General features: G+C 34.9%; 1 annotated feature.

Annotated features, from left to right (window-relative positions):
* Positions 7318-7819: an enhancer, noted in NCBI's record as "NANOG hESC enhancer chr6:113180414-113180915 (GRCh37/hg19 assembly coordinates)". NCBI's record gives its function as "activates a minimal SCP1, AML or CMV promoter by ChIP-STARR-seq in primed H9 embryonic stem cells {active_cell/tissue: H9 hESC(primed)}" and the evidence as "EXISTENCE:reporter gene assay evidence [ECO:0000049][PMID:30033119]".

The following is an 18206-nucleotide window of genomic DNA, read 5'->3' as shown; positions in this document are numbered from 1 at the left end:
GAACTCTGTTCCTTGCACGTGGTCCTCACTACTAGGTGAGATCATAGCAGGTACTGGGGATACAAAGTGGAGGAATAACAAATACACCCTGGATTGTTTTAATATACATCGTAATAAAACTTCATTAAATATGAATATTTTATATACAGTGTTAGATGCTAGAACTGCCAGGCACACAGTAAGTGCCCTATAAATGTTAGCTCTTATTATTACTGCAATATACATCACAAAATAAGTGTAATACTCTTCTAGCCTACTCTTTTTTGAAATTTTTTTGTTTAATTTATTTTTCTCTATAAATGGTGTGGAGATTATCAAGTCATCTTAAGTTAATGCATCTGTGTATTTAGTAGGGTATGTAAAAGAAAAATTTAGAAAGAAGACAAGAAAAAGAAGACTTTCTTAGCTTAGTGAGACTTAAAAAACCAAAACATTCTCTTGTCTCAGCAGGACTTGTCTATACTCACACATTACATTGTGAGATTTGCCTTAGAATTTGATTGCACAAACAAGTTGTATTTGTAGAGGTGAGAATGAAAAGAAAATTATTCTCCAAACTTGGATTGGGAAGAGGGTAGTTTATTTCTGAGCAGTAAGAATATAATCAATACCAAAAAAGTAATTTCATGTAGATATAAAAACTAACACAACCTGCTTGGAGATCTATTATTTTTATCATCTTAACTGTGATCCCTTGCATTCCTTCTCTGAGAATGAATTTATAATAATTGAAAGAAACAAACGAATTGTTACAATGCAAGTGAAAGAGCCACCTGACCTTCACATTCCCTACAGAAGGCAGACGACAAAATGATGCAACAAATGAAAGAAGTGAGGATGAAACTTTAATTTTCCTAAAAAATGCATTTTTTACTTCACTGCTACCAGAAAATGTATTGCAAAATAAATAATGCCCTAAAAACAACTAAACAGAAAAAGAAATATGTAGTGGTAGGTTTATATCACACCATAGATAACAAAACTATTCTAACAAGGGCGCTCAGGTGACTATATTCTCTACAACTGAATTCCAGAGGCAGTGATAGACATGATGAAGCTTTCAATCCATATAATACACAATATAGGGCCACTTTCCAAATTACTCTACTGTAGTTTATCCATCAGCTAAATAAAAGCAACAAGGTTTATATGATCATGTAATCTTCAGAGGAGAAACATAATAGAGCAAATATCCTACATTATTTACCTTGAACTTTCATGACTAAAGGAATGCAGGAATGCATAACTATGTAATAAATAAATATGTATGTAAAAATGTTTACATTTATGATTTACATAATACATAAAACTAGCACATTCTATCCTTCTGCATCTCCAATTCTGTTAAATGTGAATGAACAAAAATCATCTAATATCTGTCATCTTTTCTACTAAGAAAGAACACAATGGACTCTAGAAACATTACAAAATTGGCATCGAGCAAATATGGAGGTAGGAGGCAGGCAGGTGGGATTCTACTCTGGACCAGACTGAAGACTGGCTGAAACTAAAAAGAGGCACCAAAAGCACCCCTCCATAAGATACCCACCAGTGTTATGACAGTTTACCATTGCCATGACAACACCCAGAAGTTACCGCCCACTTTCTAGCTATTTCTGAATAATTTGCCCCTTAATTAGCATGTCATTAAAAGTGGGTATAAATACAACTGCAAAACTTCCCCTAGGCTGCTACTCTGGGCACGCTGCCTATGGGGTAGCTCTGCTCTGCAGGAGCAGTCACAGAGCTGTAAACATTGCTACTGCTTCAATAAAGCTGTTTTCTTCTACCAGCAGCTTGCTCTTGAATTTCTTCCCCAGTGAAGCCAAGAACCTGTCCTGCATCAAACAGATTAAACATTGAAGTTTTATCATTATTACTATTTCATGAATTAGCTCAGTCATTAATTGGGTAAAGTAGTCTCCATGTACATGAAGTCTAGGATATCACACATGAATTGCTAACACAGAACTTGCGAGACCTTTTGTCATCCTTTTCTCATTCTGGAAGCTACTCTGGAAACGTAAGGGATAAAGGAGCACCTTACTTAAAGCAACATGAGTGATTCATGGCCCCTAAAAAATTGTGACTATGACAAAGCATGTCTTACACACATCCTTCTTCACCTACCCCAGGGTCTTGTGGCTACCCAGGAGCCTCATGCCGTTTCCGCATCCCTTTATAGCTTTGCTTCCCAGAAAGACCCTTTCAGAATTCAAGCACTGCCCAAGCCTTCTCTAATTTGGGATATATAATAAAGTAAATAAATAAGTGACAACATAAGGTTATTTTAAACATTGATTTAGGTGTTATAAGTTAATAGTTTAAAGGCAACAACCCACAGCTGAACTAAAGGCCCGTCTGGTTATCCCAGTGAGGCTGTCTCCAGTTAAGCAGCAATCTCCCAATAAAGCCAAACTTTCCCTTGCCTCACAGGAATTTCAACCTAATAGAGCTTAGAACCTTAGACTAAAGTAAAGAAGATTTATCCAATTAGAATTTAAACCAACAGCCAGAGGGGAGAGAGAGAAGAATTAGGACCTTGTTGAAATGTTACCACACAGGCAGCTACTTATCTAACTTCTGATTAAATACAGAGCTAAATGAAATCTCTCTAGTTTTTTGTAATAAAGGAAACCACAAATTTAAAAAGGAATATGAGTGGGATTCTATTCTTAGGTATAATGAACCATTCTTTCATTCACTCTTTTAAAAATTATTTAAGAATTTCAATAATATTTCCAGTCCCAGTTTAGGGGAATAAATCATGAAAACAGATTCTGCCCTTGCCCTTGTGGAGTTTATAGTTCAAATGGTAAGAGGCAGACATTAATTAAGTGATCATACCACTATTACATGACAGTACAATTTTGATAAGTGCCATGAAGGAAAAGTGCAGGCACTATAGTGGAATACAATAAAAGAATTTGACATTGTCAAAAAGATCAGGAAGAACTTTGAGTAAATGATAATTGGGTTCAGATATGAAGAAGGAATAGTAATAATCTAGAGAAAAATGGTAGGAGAATGTATTCTAGGCAGCAGCCCTGTGGTAGGAGCAATTGCAAAGGCCCTGTGGTAGAAGCAGCTGCATAATGTATACAAAAATAAAGGTAGTAAGGAATGGTTGGAACATAGATATTAAGAAGCTTCATGAGATCAAGAGTTGGAAATATAGGTAGGGCCCTACAGCGAACTTTTGCTAAGATTGTTTTCTTTAATTATAGAAGGAAATGGATAGTCTGAAATATTTAATCTGGATGTGGTGATCTATTCAAATTTGCATTTCAAAAATATCACTCTGGCTGCAGTAATATTTCTATCCTGTATTTAAAAAACTGCTGATGACTTTTTTGGAAAAAATAAGGTCATTGTAGACATAGAGACCTACAAACTTTATAAGAAAAAATCTTCAGAAAAGGTTTAACTTCAAGTGTTCTACTTGTGTTTTGTCTGTTGGACTAAGAAGTTCTTACGAATCTATGAATCAAATCATCCCTGGCAAGTATTTGAATATTTGATATGACACCCCTGATGAACTGTCTCAAAATCTATGTGACTCTTCCAAGACCAAGAGACTTAGAAAATCAACAAGTAGCTTAATAGTTTATCTTTGGACAGATGTCACCATGAGAAATATCTTCTTTAATATTGATCTCACGTCTTTTTTACCTATTAGTCCCTATTATATTATGATCAACTCATAGTGATCAAAAAGTTGCCTAGGGGCAACTTTACATGCAGGCCATGATGGAAGCTTGCTCAGGGCATCATAAAGACCTCTGGAGAAGAAGAAACCAGGGCTCTGGGCATGGTGATCTCTGGGAGGTGGAGGCCTAGAACCACCAAGAAAGGAATTACAGTAGTCTTCCCTTATCTGCGGTTTTGCTTTTTGTGATTTCAGTTACCTGTGGGCAATCATGGTCCAAAAATATTAAATGGAAAATTCCAGAAATAACTCATCAGTTTTAAATTGCAAGCCATTCTGCATAGTGTGATGAAATGTCACACCATCCTGTGCTGTCCCTCTCCTTCCCACCAGGCACGTGACTCATCCCTTTGTCCGGTATATCCACACTGTAGATGCTGCCTGTTAGTTAGTTGGTAGCCATCTAGATTATCTGATCCACTCTCTTGGTATCACAGTCTTGTGCTCAAGTAGCCCTTGTTTCATTCAATAATGGGCCCAAAGTGCAAGAGTAATGATCCTGGCAATTTGGATGTGCTAAAGAGAAGCCATAAAGTGCCTCCTTTAAGTGAAAAGGTGAAAGCTCTCGACTTAATAAAGAAAAAAAAATCATATACTTACGCTGTTAAGATCTACAGTAAGAATGAATCTTCTCTTCATGAAATTGTGAAGAAGTACAAAGAAATTCATGCTAGCTTACCTCCTACCTCAAACTTCAAAAGTTATGGCCACAGGACGTGATCAATGCTTAGGAAGGAAAAGGAATTAAACATATGGAAAATCTGAACAGAAATTAGTTCTGACTGATGGCCATCGGGTTTGGTATCATACTATATGAGATGTCAGTTATCCCCTGGGGGTCTTGGACCATATACCCTGGAATAAACAGGGATCAGGGGAGGAATACTGTACCTGATTGTAATGGTTTATATACCACTAGTCTTTTATGTTGTTCAAAAGTGTATAAATTGTGTCTTCAGCTCCTTCAGTATAAAAATAGAATATATATTTTCTGCAATTCTGGCTTTTAGTGTTAATATGGTATATTTTTCCATGTGTTCACTTTTAATCTGTCTTCATTTTTACATTTAAAGCAATTTTCTTGTAGACAACATATACTTGAGCTTCTTAAATTTACATATTATTGCGATAAGAACACTTAATGTCAGAGTATCTGTCTTTTAATGGGAGTATTTGGATCACTCACATTTGAAGTGGTTAATAATATAATTGGATTAATATCTACCATATTCCCAACTATTTTCTATTTGTTATCTGTTCTTTGTAACATTTTTGCCTTGCAGTCCTTTTCTGCCTTCTCTGGTTTTAATTGAACATTTTACATAACTGCATTTTGTCCTTTCTCTTAGCATATCAGCTATACATTTAAAAAATTATTCAGTGCCCTAGAATTTACCATATACACTTCCAAAAAATCTAAGTCCACTTTCAAAGAACAGTTTATGGGTGACGCAGGTACTTTAAAACAGAGCACTTCAATTCATCCCTCTTTCCCTCATAATATTGTTGTCATTCCTTTCACTTATCCAGAAGCAATAATCACTCAGTACACATTTTTTAATGATTTTATTTTACCTTTGTTTATTCCTTCCCTAACATTATTCCTTTCTTTATGCAGATACAAGTTTCTGATCCATATCACTTTCTCCTCTCTGAAGAGCATCTTTAAACATTTCTTTCTGGCAACAAAATTCCTGAATTTTTATTTGACTAAGAAAGTATTTGCCCTTTACTTTTAAAGAATAATTTCACTAGATAAAGAATTCTAGGTTAGTGGCCTTTTTTTTTTCTTTCAACTGTTAAATATTTCTCTCTGCTTTCTTCTTAATTGTATGGTTTCTGAAGGCAAATTCCGTTAGAGGTATGGTTTTCCTTTTCTCCAGCTTCTTTCAAGATTTGCTCTTTGATTTTTTTTTATTTTTTTAATTTTTAAAAATTTTTAAATTATATTATTTTGTTTTATTTATTTTATTTTATATTATTTTATTTTATTTTATTTTATTTTATTTTATTTTATTTTATTTTATTTTATTTTATTTTTTGAGACAGAGTCTTCCTCTGTCACCCAGGCTGGAGTGCAGTGGCACAATCTCGGCTCACTGCAAGCTCCGCCTCCGGGTTCACGCCATTCTCCTGCCTCAGCCTCCCCAGCAGTTGGGACTACAGGCGCCCGCCACCACGCCCGGCTAATTTTTTGTATTTTTAGTAGAGACGGGGTTTCACCGTGTTAGCCAGGATGGTCTCCATCTCCTGACCTCATGATCCACCCGCATCGGCCTCCCAAAGTGCTGGGATTACAGGCATGAGCCACCGCACCCAGCCCTTGTCTTTGATTTTCTAACGACAGGCCTAGGTGTAGATTTTTTGGTATTTACCTCTCTCAGTGTTCTCTGAGCTCCTTGTTTCTGTGATTTGATATCTGTTATTAATTTCAGAAATTCTCAGCCATTATTACCTCAAATATTCTGCTTCTTTGTCTGTTTTTTCTTTGTGTATTCTCTTTTGTAATTATCCCACAGTTCTTGGATATTCTATTCCTTTTTTTTTTTTTTTTCATTTTTTTTTTCTTCGCCTTTCAATTTGAGAAGTTTCCATCATCGTATCTTCAGGCTCACTGATTCTTTCATCAGCTGTGTCCGGACTACTGATGACTCCCTCAAAACAACTCTTATTTTCTCTTTCAGTGTTTTTGGTTACCATTTGTTTTGTTTTGTTTCCTTTTGCTCCTTTTGATTTTCAGTGTTTAGCATTTCATTTCTGTACTTTCTTAGAATTTTTAATTCTCTGTTTATATCATTCATCTGCTCCTGCATTTTGTCTACTTTTTCCATTAGAGTTCTTAGCATATTAGTCATATTTATTTAACATTTCCAGTCTGATCGTTCCCAAATCTCTGCTGTTTCTGAATCTGGATCTGACGCTCGCTGTGTCTCTTCAACGTATGTGTCTTTTGTGTTTCAGCATGTGTTGTAATTTTTTTTTTGCAATTTGAACAGGATGAATTGGGTGAAAGAAACTGAGTTAAATAGACCTAAGTGTGAGGATTTAGGTTTATCTGGCTAGGAGTTAGGCTACATTTATTACTTGCCTGTAGCTGCAGATACTAGAAGCTAACATTTCCTTGAGTGTTCCTGTTTTTGTCTTTTCTATTGTCTTTGAGTTTCTCTAGAAACTCTAATTCTGGCCATTAAATTTTTTTAAAAAAATAATTAAATAATAGTTTCTGACATAGGAAAATACAACATGTATCCCCTTTATAACTAAAGGGAAACAAGTCCCATACTTTACTATCCATTATGCTTTTGCTTTTATGGTGCTGACTCTTAAGCATGTGCATGAAAAACTTAGGAAGAGACATTTTAAAAAGAACTCCATAGACCTTTTATGATTGATATTTTATGTGTCCCCCTGTTCTCTTTCTATGTGTTAAAATTTGTGGTGTTATTTCTTCTCTCTCTCTTTCCCTTTCTGCCTCTCTCTCTCTCTCTCTTTCCTTTCTCTCATTAAGACATAAATAAATGGGTTGCCAGAATTTCCTAGTTTAACCATTTTCAAAATTTATGCTGCTAAGAGTACCTGGTAAAGAATTCTCAACAGCAATAAGATAAATTGTTTTACTCTAATTAGGTCTCAAATTACAACCTAAGTAATTCGCATTCTAGGTGAATATAAGTTAATGGACACTACAAGAAAATGAAACTCTATTTAAAATTTAGCACAGCAGAATATAACTCTCTTTTCATTTCTCACTTATTAAACCATCAATTAATTTCCCTTAACACTCAGGACTCAGCATGGACAAGACTGGGTAATTTCAGGCAAACCTAGAGAGTAGAAAGATAATCACTTCCCACTGAGGGCTTTAAATGTTCACCAGGGCCCTGCTGTGTTTAATGCAGACCCAGTGCCCTGACCAGAGGATGGCTTTTTTGTTCCCATATTATGTTTTAAATCACTCATCTATATGGTTTTTAGTACTATGAACAAAATGAAATTTTCACCTATGAATTCAGGTCTTCTGGAATTTGTGCAAATATGCAATTACAAAAAAGAAAAGTCATTTTTTTTCTATCAACTTGGAATTATTGGCAAAGGATTTTCTAAACCATTATAAAATGTATTTCCAACTAGAAGTCAGCTAACTTGACTCACCTTGAACAGCTCCAGTAACGATCAAACTTTCTTTCTCACCAAGCAGCACATTTCCTGTGGACAAATTTTATAAAGATTGATCCAGTTTGTTTCATTTTAACTTCCATACATTACCCTTCTTTTCTTTTGTTTCTAGCTTCTAGTATCTCATATGGCAGCCTTTTAGAAAATAATATTTGTCATAGTCAACACCCATTAGCACAATGAATCTACTTTTCACAATAAGTATCCCAGTTCTCTTCATGGTACCTCATATTACATGCTTGTTTTATTCTGTCTTGTTCCCTCCTGAAGTGAAGTGCGGCACTCAGAAACGGACCTAGGAATCTGTGAAATCAATGGGCAAATTTGAGATTACATACACTACATTCTGCTTCTTCTTTGTATTTGAAACCTACTCAAAGACTGATCACCTCCTTGGCTAAATAATACCCAGTGGCAGAGAGTCAGGAAAATTACAACAGGAAGATGAGACCATGTTTGACATCTTATCTCTCTAAATCTTCCTTTTTCATGTCCCTCTGGATGCTTCCAGCCCATTAAAATTTTCATTTCTGTGTCCTATTGCAGCAGAAACCCAATCTCCTCTGTAGAATGTGGGTTAGTGTTGAGATAATTAGAAAAGTTAATCTCTCAGGCTTAGCTGGCAATGTTTCTCTGTCAGCATCAACCATAGAGCTGTGCACAAATTAGATGCTGTATACATTGCTTTAAATAAATGTCTTAACTTATGTAAAGTGCACATGTACTCAGAAAGCACTTAAAGGATGGCTAAAGAGGGAATATTCCAATTTGAAAAACACAGAGTTCCAAGCCACCTCTAGGACTGATATGTAGAAAGGACAGACATTTTCTAAACCAGTGCTATTCAAAATGTGGTTGCCTAATAGATATAGCAGCAGCATCTAGAAATTTAGTAGAAATGAAGACCCAAGGCCCCTCTCCAGACCTGAATCACAATCTCAAAGGACGGAACCCAGAATTTTGTACAGAAAAATTTTATGCAAGATACAATTTGAGAAGATGCTTCTCAACCACTGTCCAGTCTCTTTCTCTGTCCCCTTCATGAGGCTCTGGCTTCCTATTGACTTGGCATCAAACATGGTAACCTGAAAGAAGTGTGTGTTATTTTTAGCATTGTGTGTCTATAGTATTCACCATCTTCAATGTTAGCCTTAACTTCCACTTTCTTCTAAAGAACCTTCTCCCCGTTTACTGTTTGTGGTCACATCCCACAATTAATTACCTTCACACACACATTTGCAACATTATTCAAACTTGAATGCCAATTGTATCCTTCTTCATCTGTCAGGAATATATTAATATTTTAAAATAAATCCTAAAAACCCACCTTCTCCTTGACTTTCCTGACATACCTAGAAACCACACCGAGAAACAGATCTATTTTTGTATACCCTCATATCACATCATTCACAAATCTCTTGTGATCACTGCCACATTTTGCCATGTGTAATAAGTGTTCCTAGAAAGCAGAGACGGGGGCAAAATTGTGTATGCTAATAGTTAACCAGATCAGATAATCATAAAGAAGCAGAGGTAAGGAGAAAAGGGAGGAAGATATAGGGAAAGAGAAGAAATTAAACTCAAGAGAGTGAATTCCTGACATGGGTACTGCTTGTTATCAAGTACAACTAATTGGTTTTTCTTGAGGAATCATCCTCATAGAGCCCATATAAATGGTGCATCTCAGGACTCTGTGCAGAGTGCAGAACCGAGAAATAATTATATGCTGGCTGCTGTCTTCCACTGGTCAAAAGTTTGTTCTATGATGTGCTAATGCCCTCTTTCTTCTCAATTGCATTTGAGTCATTCTCTCTGCAGCTTGAAGTTTAGCACTAACAGGAAAGCTCAAGGATGGGAGGTGAAAGGGAGCAGTGAGGACAGTACCCAAGCACTGTCAGGTTCTGTCCATAAGAGATTAGTCTGAGCCCATTCAAAGCTGGCCGACTTCATGGCAATTGGCAATCAAAGGTGGATGAAGGTCCAGAAAGAGGTCATGCTGAGAGGATGTAAAGTGGTACTTAAAGATGTCTGATAGAAATTGTGTGCATCTCTGGCTTATCTGTCCATGGAGACCATTCTTGAGGTTAGACTTGGCATTTCATATTTTCACAGCGTCTAGTGTTTATTTTAAACATCAAAGGTCCTCCCTGAATGTGCTGCAGAAATGCAAGACTACCAGTGGCTTAAAAATGTTTGCTTAATTAATTGCACTGTAATTAATCAATTCTCTCTACATCAGGTATTTACAGCATAGAAACTTACTCTATAAGGCAAGATTCTTTACCTGTATTTTTTCACTGTGTTTCCCAAGAATCTAGAACAATACTTGGTACATAATGGGTATTCAAAAAAATTTGTTGAATGAACGAATCTCATCAAATTCCAAAGAAGAGAAGCACATGGTCTTGAACATACTCATAATTTGAAGAAGCCATTAATATCAATCATTAGAAAAGGTGAAAGGGGCATCTGTGACCTTGTCAGTTTTTCCCAGCTGTAAAACAGGAATAATTATAGGGCAGTGGAATTCACTATTATACAAAATTGGAAGCTTCTAGTTTAATTGTGCAGGACACTTGACCATAATAAGCCTTAGTCTCCTCATAGCCCTTATCTGTTAACTAGATTACATACTGTAGACTAGTTTTTTTTTTTTTTTTTAACAGAAGTTAACATGAGACTCCAGAACAGTACTGGCCATCAACATCCAGCTGTCAGATGTGAGAAGAAAGAGAGTACATGATAACAGGAAGGCTTTACAGGGTATATACCATGTCTGCTATATTTCTCTGGCCAAAACTCGGCCACATGACCACACTTAATAGCAAGGGAGGTTGGCAGATATAGTTTCACTATTTGTCTGGACTGAAAGAAAAAATGCTTAGTGAATAAATAGCTAATTTAAGCCACCAGAATTAAATAGTAGATTTCACATTGGCTTCTTCCTGTCTGTGAAGTTTGTGGGATACATTTTTGCAAAGACATTCCATGCGTTCCATGTAATTTCTGATATAAGGTAATCTACTTGGAGGGAGGTGATAAGGAAGCTCAGAGTAAGTTTTCATTGCATAGGTGTATGTGTCAGGCTATAATATTTAAAGCATATGGAGGTCTTTTTCAGATTTGGACAGAAGTGGGGGAGCACAAAGGAAGTGTGGTTATTCTAGGATCCACTATCAGACTTTCTTTGCAATTAAAAAATCTCCATATGCATGCCAGCTATTTTCATTTTGTGGGCAGTTGGGAGATGACTGCAGTGTCCTGGTACTGCGGCGAACAACCTGAATCCACAAAAGTTAGGGTGATCAATTGATCTGCAGTGCCAGCTTTGGCATATCTCCAGTAACCGCTTTGTTATATTTATAGTACTTTATTTTACAAGTATTGTTAATAACAACAATGGTTCTCACTTAGTACATTAACTGGTAGTGCCACCTAGATTTAATGACAAAATGGCAAATTAATTCATATTACATTTCGTTAAGGAATATGAGATAAATCCATGAATGAAGTGAAATTAAGCTTTTCTGGCTCATCATATTTAATTTTAGAAAGTCATAACTTTATTTTATTCTAGGTGAAATGATTGATAAGTAATTGTTTTTCTGACATACAAAATTTAGATTCAAAAGTACCACATTTTCATTTATTATGTTGTAATTATTTTGTATTAGAAACACCTTTAAATAATTATAGAGGCATTCATAAATCAATGAATGTTATGTACAGAGGGATTGCAAATTTATTATCACTACAGCATCTTACTAACAAAATGCAAATTAAATTAATAATTAAGAGTTTAGTTTTCATATTTAGACTCCCTCAGACAAATATTCTTTTAGTGTTTTGAAATTTTTAGATTATGAATGATGTGTAGAGTAAGTTTTAGACTACCCATTTTCTTAAAGGTAGGTCCCTTGCTTTTTCTATAAAACCCTTCCAAACCTGCCTTGGAAACTCCACTTTTTATACAGTTCACAGATGATTCCTATGATTTATAACTCAGTAACACAAATATCTTTAGAGGCATTGCTCATATGGATGCATATTTTAAACTCTAACCTTATGTTCCTTTCTATGTTTTCTTTTAGAAGGCGGAAGAGGAAAAATTTCAAACAAACATTTTAATAACAATATATTTTTAGGAACCACTCATCTTCTGCTTTTAGGGATTTATTTTTTTCCCTCTTTCACAGACCCCTCCCACCATAACATCTGCTCCCTCCACCTCCCCACTCCAATCAGCTCAACCAGTTATATTAAAATAAAAAGAAATTTATCACTAGATTTCTCTGGGTAGAAGCGAGGTCCCTGCTCCCTTGAGAAATGGAGCACTCTAACTCTACTCATCTTCACTCTTTGGCCACCAAGAATTCCATTGTCTGTTGTGTCAGACGCAAAACACAATCATGGTGATAGGGATCATCTAACGTATGAAAACTTTAACAGAATATATTAAAAATTAAACTATTCTGCCCTCATATCCTCGTCTCATTTACTTCATGTATTTAGTATTACACTTCAATTTTCTAAGTTGCAAAATAAGTACCCAGAGTATGGATGTGTCATATACTTTTCTTTTTTTAAAAAAATTGAGTATTTAATAAGTGTGCAGTCACCAGTAGTTGAATTGAACAGTTGTTAAATTGAGTAAATTTTTTCATGATTGTTTCAGTTTCTGTAAACCCTTTGGTAGCAATTTGTTTTTCCTATTGCAAAACAATACTCTGTATAGACTAAAACTACTTTAGGGTATATATTCTTATACTATTCACATGATGATAAGCTTGACAGATCAGCTGATATTGATTTGTTATAAAGTATTGAAAGAAATTTTCTTCTGTTTAAAAATTAATAAGGTGGTGTACTGGAAATATTTCCTCCAATATTAAAACATTGTTGTAGGCAGCATGAGGACATGAGTTCTTTGTAGCCCCAAATACTTTTACTTTAGAAAAGATGCCTGTGCTATGAAGAATCATCCTTTCAGCACTGCCTGTTAATTCCAATCTCACAGAATTAACATCAAGTACAGATTCTGTTTATATTTCTCTATAGGATTTTATGTGATTGTGAGAAGAAAGATAAAAAATTATTTTGCAAAGCGTGTTTTATTTCAAGTTCTGGATGAAAGTAAATCCAATCATTTTGATTACAAATATTTTCAAATAAATTTGAAATAGAAAACAGTCTAATATTCCTCCATATATGTACAAACAAAAAAGTGTCATGAACTTAGTGTAATAGCTGGAGGTCTTCACTAGAGGAAAGAAATTTTAATTAAAAATAAACTACTTTAATTCGTCTATTATTCACAACTGTTTATAAAACTATTGTGTCCCAGGAACTATACTAGACATAGGAATTATAAAATTTAAAGAGCTAGTCCAACTTTTAAGATTAAGGTGTAAGTAGGAAAAGGAGACACATAAGAAAACAAATTATAGCCCAGTATAACTGCAGGAGTAAAGACATGTCCAGAGCACTTGGAGACAGCATGGAGGACAAGCATATAAGCCTGCCTTGGAGTCAAAGTTTTAAGACTGGAGAAGTGATTATAACTTTCAGAAGGTTTCCAAGTGGACTAGTCCATGCATAGGTGAGAAGGAATATTCTAAGCAAATGGAGCAGCCAGTGTAAAGGTAGGAGGGAGCAAGACATGTTTAAGCAAATAAAGTTAGCTCAATTTTGCTGGGGGCAAAGGGTGGTGGTGGTATGCATTGAGGCTGGAAATGATGTTTGAACAACCTTGCATTTCAAACGACTGCTCCCACTGACATAAGTAATTCTTGCAGAGCTGTGAACATAGATACCTTATAATCACTGTGTGTAAGTGGGTATGCGTGCTTTAAAAATATCAGCTGGGAGGCAGTGCAGAGAATGGGTTGGGGAGTTGTAGGAGTGGAAAGATTATGCACAGGGTGAGTTACATTGAGGCCATTATAGTTATCAAGAGCAGGAGAATAGAGATGTTTAGAAGGTTGAATTGAAAGGGCTTGTTGATTGCACAGATGTGAGTAGAATAGAAAAGCGAGTATGAAATGACCGCTAGGTTCATACATGAGGTTAACAGGGTACATGGTGGTGCTATCACAGAGAGAAATAATGCAGATCTAGAAGCATGTGTGTGTGTGTACCTTTGTTGGAGGGTATGGATACAATATATGACAAAATCTTAAAACATGGTTAAATGGTTTTCAGGATTTCAACTTTTTTTCTACAATGTATATGGTTTTGATAGCTTTTAAGCTCCAAATTAAACACATCCCCTTCACTCCCATACCAGGAAGAGTTCCGTCATTATTTCATCCTGTATCTAGGATAGCCTATATGCCTATCAATTCAGAACCATCTGTGTATGATAAAGCTATCGCTTCCAATCCTGCACGTCTCTCTTGTTTCACCTAACCCTTTCTTGTCAACCATTTTCATCACTGTCATTGCTGTCTTGTCTCTAATCTCTAACTCTTTAAAAGAACACGGCTTCAAATTCCTCTTTCCAAATTTCTCCTGGTTCTCCTTTCATGATAGTCAAATAATATCAGTTAAAAGAACAGAAATATTTTCCCAACTTAGGGCATTTATACTTTCAGCTGATGAAACTCTAACGGGCATCTCTTTTTTTTTTTATCTAAAGCTTTACAGGTTGCCTACTTTCCCTCCTTCCCCTTTTTTGGGTATGAACATATTTCAGGGTTTTATCTTTCCTCTCTGTTCCTCTATCTCTTTATTCACAGAAAAATTTATGAAGTGAGAACTGAATTTAAATTTCTTAATTCAAATTCAGCCTCTGCTGAGCTTAACTTTTGTTCAAATGTTTATCCTGCAAGGCACAATGTTTAATACCTCAGACCCAAGTTTTCTGCTGTATTTAAAAGGGGATAACACATATTTGTAGAGTGTTGAGAGAATTAAAGGAAATGCTGTATATATAAAGCACTTAGTATAGTTCCTGACAAGTGGTAAGTAGGACATATATGTTAGTTTTATTACAAATATTGTTATAAATATTACTAGACACTTCAAGTCAAATAATTAGGAAATTTTCTGGTTGCTACACTTAGGTATAGTTTAGACTGATAATCTTAAGAGAGAGTGCTTTTTCATTTTTCATTTTAAGATTAACATTTGTTTGAGTTTGCTCAAAATAAGTGACATATTATATTTCTTTAAATAGTGAAAACACTTGTAAAAACAAAACTGTAATAGGTTAATTTGAACCAGTTTTCTAATTTCCATGAGTATTTTTATTATGTTTTCATTTCTCATAATCATATGGTCATAGAAAGAACAATCTGAGAGTTAACCAAATTAATAGTACCCATAAAAATTGTTAATTTGATGATGTGCTGATTTTATTATTAATAGTTTTTAATAAAATACTCTCCAATGGATAGTAACACATTGCCTATAATTTTATGAAAATAATGCAATGCTCAGAAAACACACTGGCATTTTCTTTTGATTACAAATCAGTGGGGTACCCTATAACTCAATAAAAAGTTTTGTGGAATTCATGTTTCATATGTTTGGATGTGCAACAAATACAATATTGATTTGTTGCCTACAGCGAATCATAATAACAAATACCAAAGGAAAAATGAAACTACTTGTCTCATTTGTATTTCACTTCTTATATAAAGAAAAATAGCATTTGCATTAAAAAATAGAAAATAAGCATTAGTAATGTGGAATGGAAGTCCTTAAAGATAAGAATATTATAAAGTACAGGCTGTTGGGCTAAAACGTTATCTCTGACTAGAACAAATGGTGTCATGGAAAATTACTGTAGTCTTAAGGAGATTCACATATGAGATAGCTGAACCACTGCCAAGAATATCTAAAGAACATACAGAACAGGAAAATCACCATAAATCTTAATAATGGACAAACAGAAATTTTCACCATAAAATTGAAATAAATACTGTTTTTTTCCTGCAAAGTTGTATTCACAGAATGGTTGTTTAGTTCTTAGAAAACTGCATAAATTTACTAATGTCATATCATTGTCTACTAGTCTTTTATAAAAAAATAAGGCAAAATCTGGTCATCAAGGAAATTCTATCAATATAGTTACATACAATCTCTAAATTTTACCGTGGAATTTATAAAAACTCTTGCTGTAGCCTTATAAATAATAAGAAATAATATATTCTTCGGAATAATTAGATTTTAATAATAATAGTAATCAAAACCGATAATGGGTCAATCAATTTAGTAAATGGAGGCTCTGTCTACAAATTTGTTTTATTCAATAGTTTATTCTTTAAAATTGTCATCAAGGTAATATGTAAATATTTAAGTTCTCATAGTACAAAGTAGTTTATGCTTACAAGCAGTAGTTCCTACCCCATCTCTCCCCACTGCAAACACACTCCCTGGAAGCAATAATCTGTGATTTCAGTGTTTAAATTAATTGCCTCAATTTTCTCTAAATGATTGTTCATAGTACCACTTCTTGATGTTTTAACTTTAGCCATCATTTATTGCTTATTATGCTGTGGCTGTAAAGATTTAGCTTACTTAAAAATCTGCTTCATCCTCACCTCTTCTTAATAAAGTTACAGCACTACTTTACTTTTTATGTCTTTAAAGAATATTCTTTAAACCAAGGATTGACAAACCATGGCCTGTAGGCAAAATCCAGCTTGCTGCCAGTTCTTGTAAATAGAGTTTTATTGAAACACTGCCTTATCCATCTGTTTAGGGTTCTGTATGGATAATTTCATACCACAATGCCTGGCCTGAGTAGTTGCAACAGAAACCGTATCACTTGCGAAGCCTACAGTATTTACTATCTGGCCTTCTAAAGGAAAAATTTTGCTAACCTCTCATTTAAACTTCTGTTTTTTTAAGTTTTTGTTTGTTTTTCAATTTTAGACAGTATATACCATCCCTTTATTGCTAGATAAGTATATCAATACCCATAATCATTTCTTTACTTCTCATACTTCTTCCACGCACCAACTTGCATGAGCCATAGTTTGACTTTTGTATTGTCAAGATTGATGACATTTAAATTCTACTCCATTATTATGACAAAACTTCATAATTCATCTGTGAATTGAACCTAAAAGTTAAAAACCAATACTTTTTTACATTATTATTGTGTGCATAATGCCCCATACATACTTCAGTAAATACATACTTCAATATCTACTTCAATGAGATTTCTACTCTGCCACTCAAGAAAGCATATGCAAATAAATTCTCCTTTGTGACATTCCAATAGCTGGTCAAAGGTATGCCATTTACTTTAAGTATAATCCATGATTGTGGTAGATATTATTCTAAGATGACCCCCAAGATCCTCAGGTCCTGGTGTATAGACTTTGAATAATCCCCAGTACAATGAGGGTGATGGCTGTCAGTTCTGCGATTAGATTATGTTATATGGCACAACTGACATTAAGAAAGGGAAATTATCTGGGTGGACTTGGCTTCATCATGAGCCCCTTACATCTAGATTTTGATTTCAGATACGAAAGAAGCAGAGCAAGAAGTCAGAGACACGTGTTCCTGCTGACCTAGGAAAAAGCAAACAGCTACATTGTGAAGGGCCAGTGAGGAGGGGCATCCTCTAGGGGCTGAGAGCTATCCCCTGCTGACAGCTGACAGCCAATAAGAAAACAGGGACCTCAGTCTTATAAGCACAAATAAACAAATCTAGCTTGGAAAAAAACAAACAACAAAACAAACAAACAAAAAATTTAAATGAGTTTGGAAGGGGATTCTCCCCTATGGCCTTCAAACAAAAACTTAGTTCTACCGACACCTTGATTTTAGCCTTGTGATATCCTGAGCAAAGAACCTACCCTGTTCCAGATGTCCCACCCACAGAACTGTGAGATAATAAATGAATAGTATTTTAAGAAGCAGAGTTTGTGATAATTTGTTACATAGCAATAGATAATTATTCCAACACTCATGAACTGAGTTTGGAGAGTTGAAGAATCCCTGAAGACAGTCAGGATATTTTTCTTTATCCTTTTGAGGTGGTCTTAAGATATGACCACAAACACTTTGATGCTCATCCTACAAAAGGTTGGGTTTAATTTCTCTCCACTTGAATATGGGCTGATGTTCGTGACTTGCTCCTAATGAATTTAATGTAACCTAAGTGATGCTGTGTGACTTTCAAGGTTGGTTAAAAAGTGATAGATGTCAAAAAACAGAAATAGCCAAAATGTCTTTCAGCAGGATAATGGACAAAAAGTACAGATTTATACTTTGGAATGTTGTTTCATGATCAAATCAAATAAGCTATTAATTAATCCATACAACAACATGGATGAATCGTAAGTACATATTCCCAAGTGAA

The sequence above is a fragment of the Homo sapiens genome, chromosome 6, assembly GCF_000001405.40.
Source record: "Homo sapiens chromosome 6, GRCh38.p14 Primary Assembly".
Taxonomy (NCBI): domain Eukaryota; kingdom Metazoa; phylum Chordata; class Mammalia; order Primates; family Hominidae; genus Homo; species Homo sapiens.
Note: the sequence above shows the minus strand (reverse complement) of the source record. Positions and strands in the feature narration are given on the sequence as shown.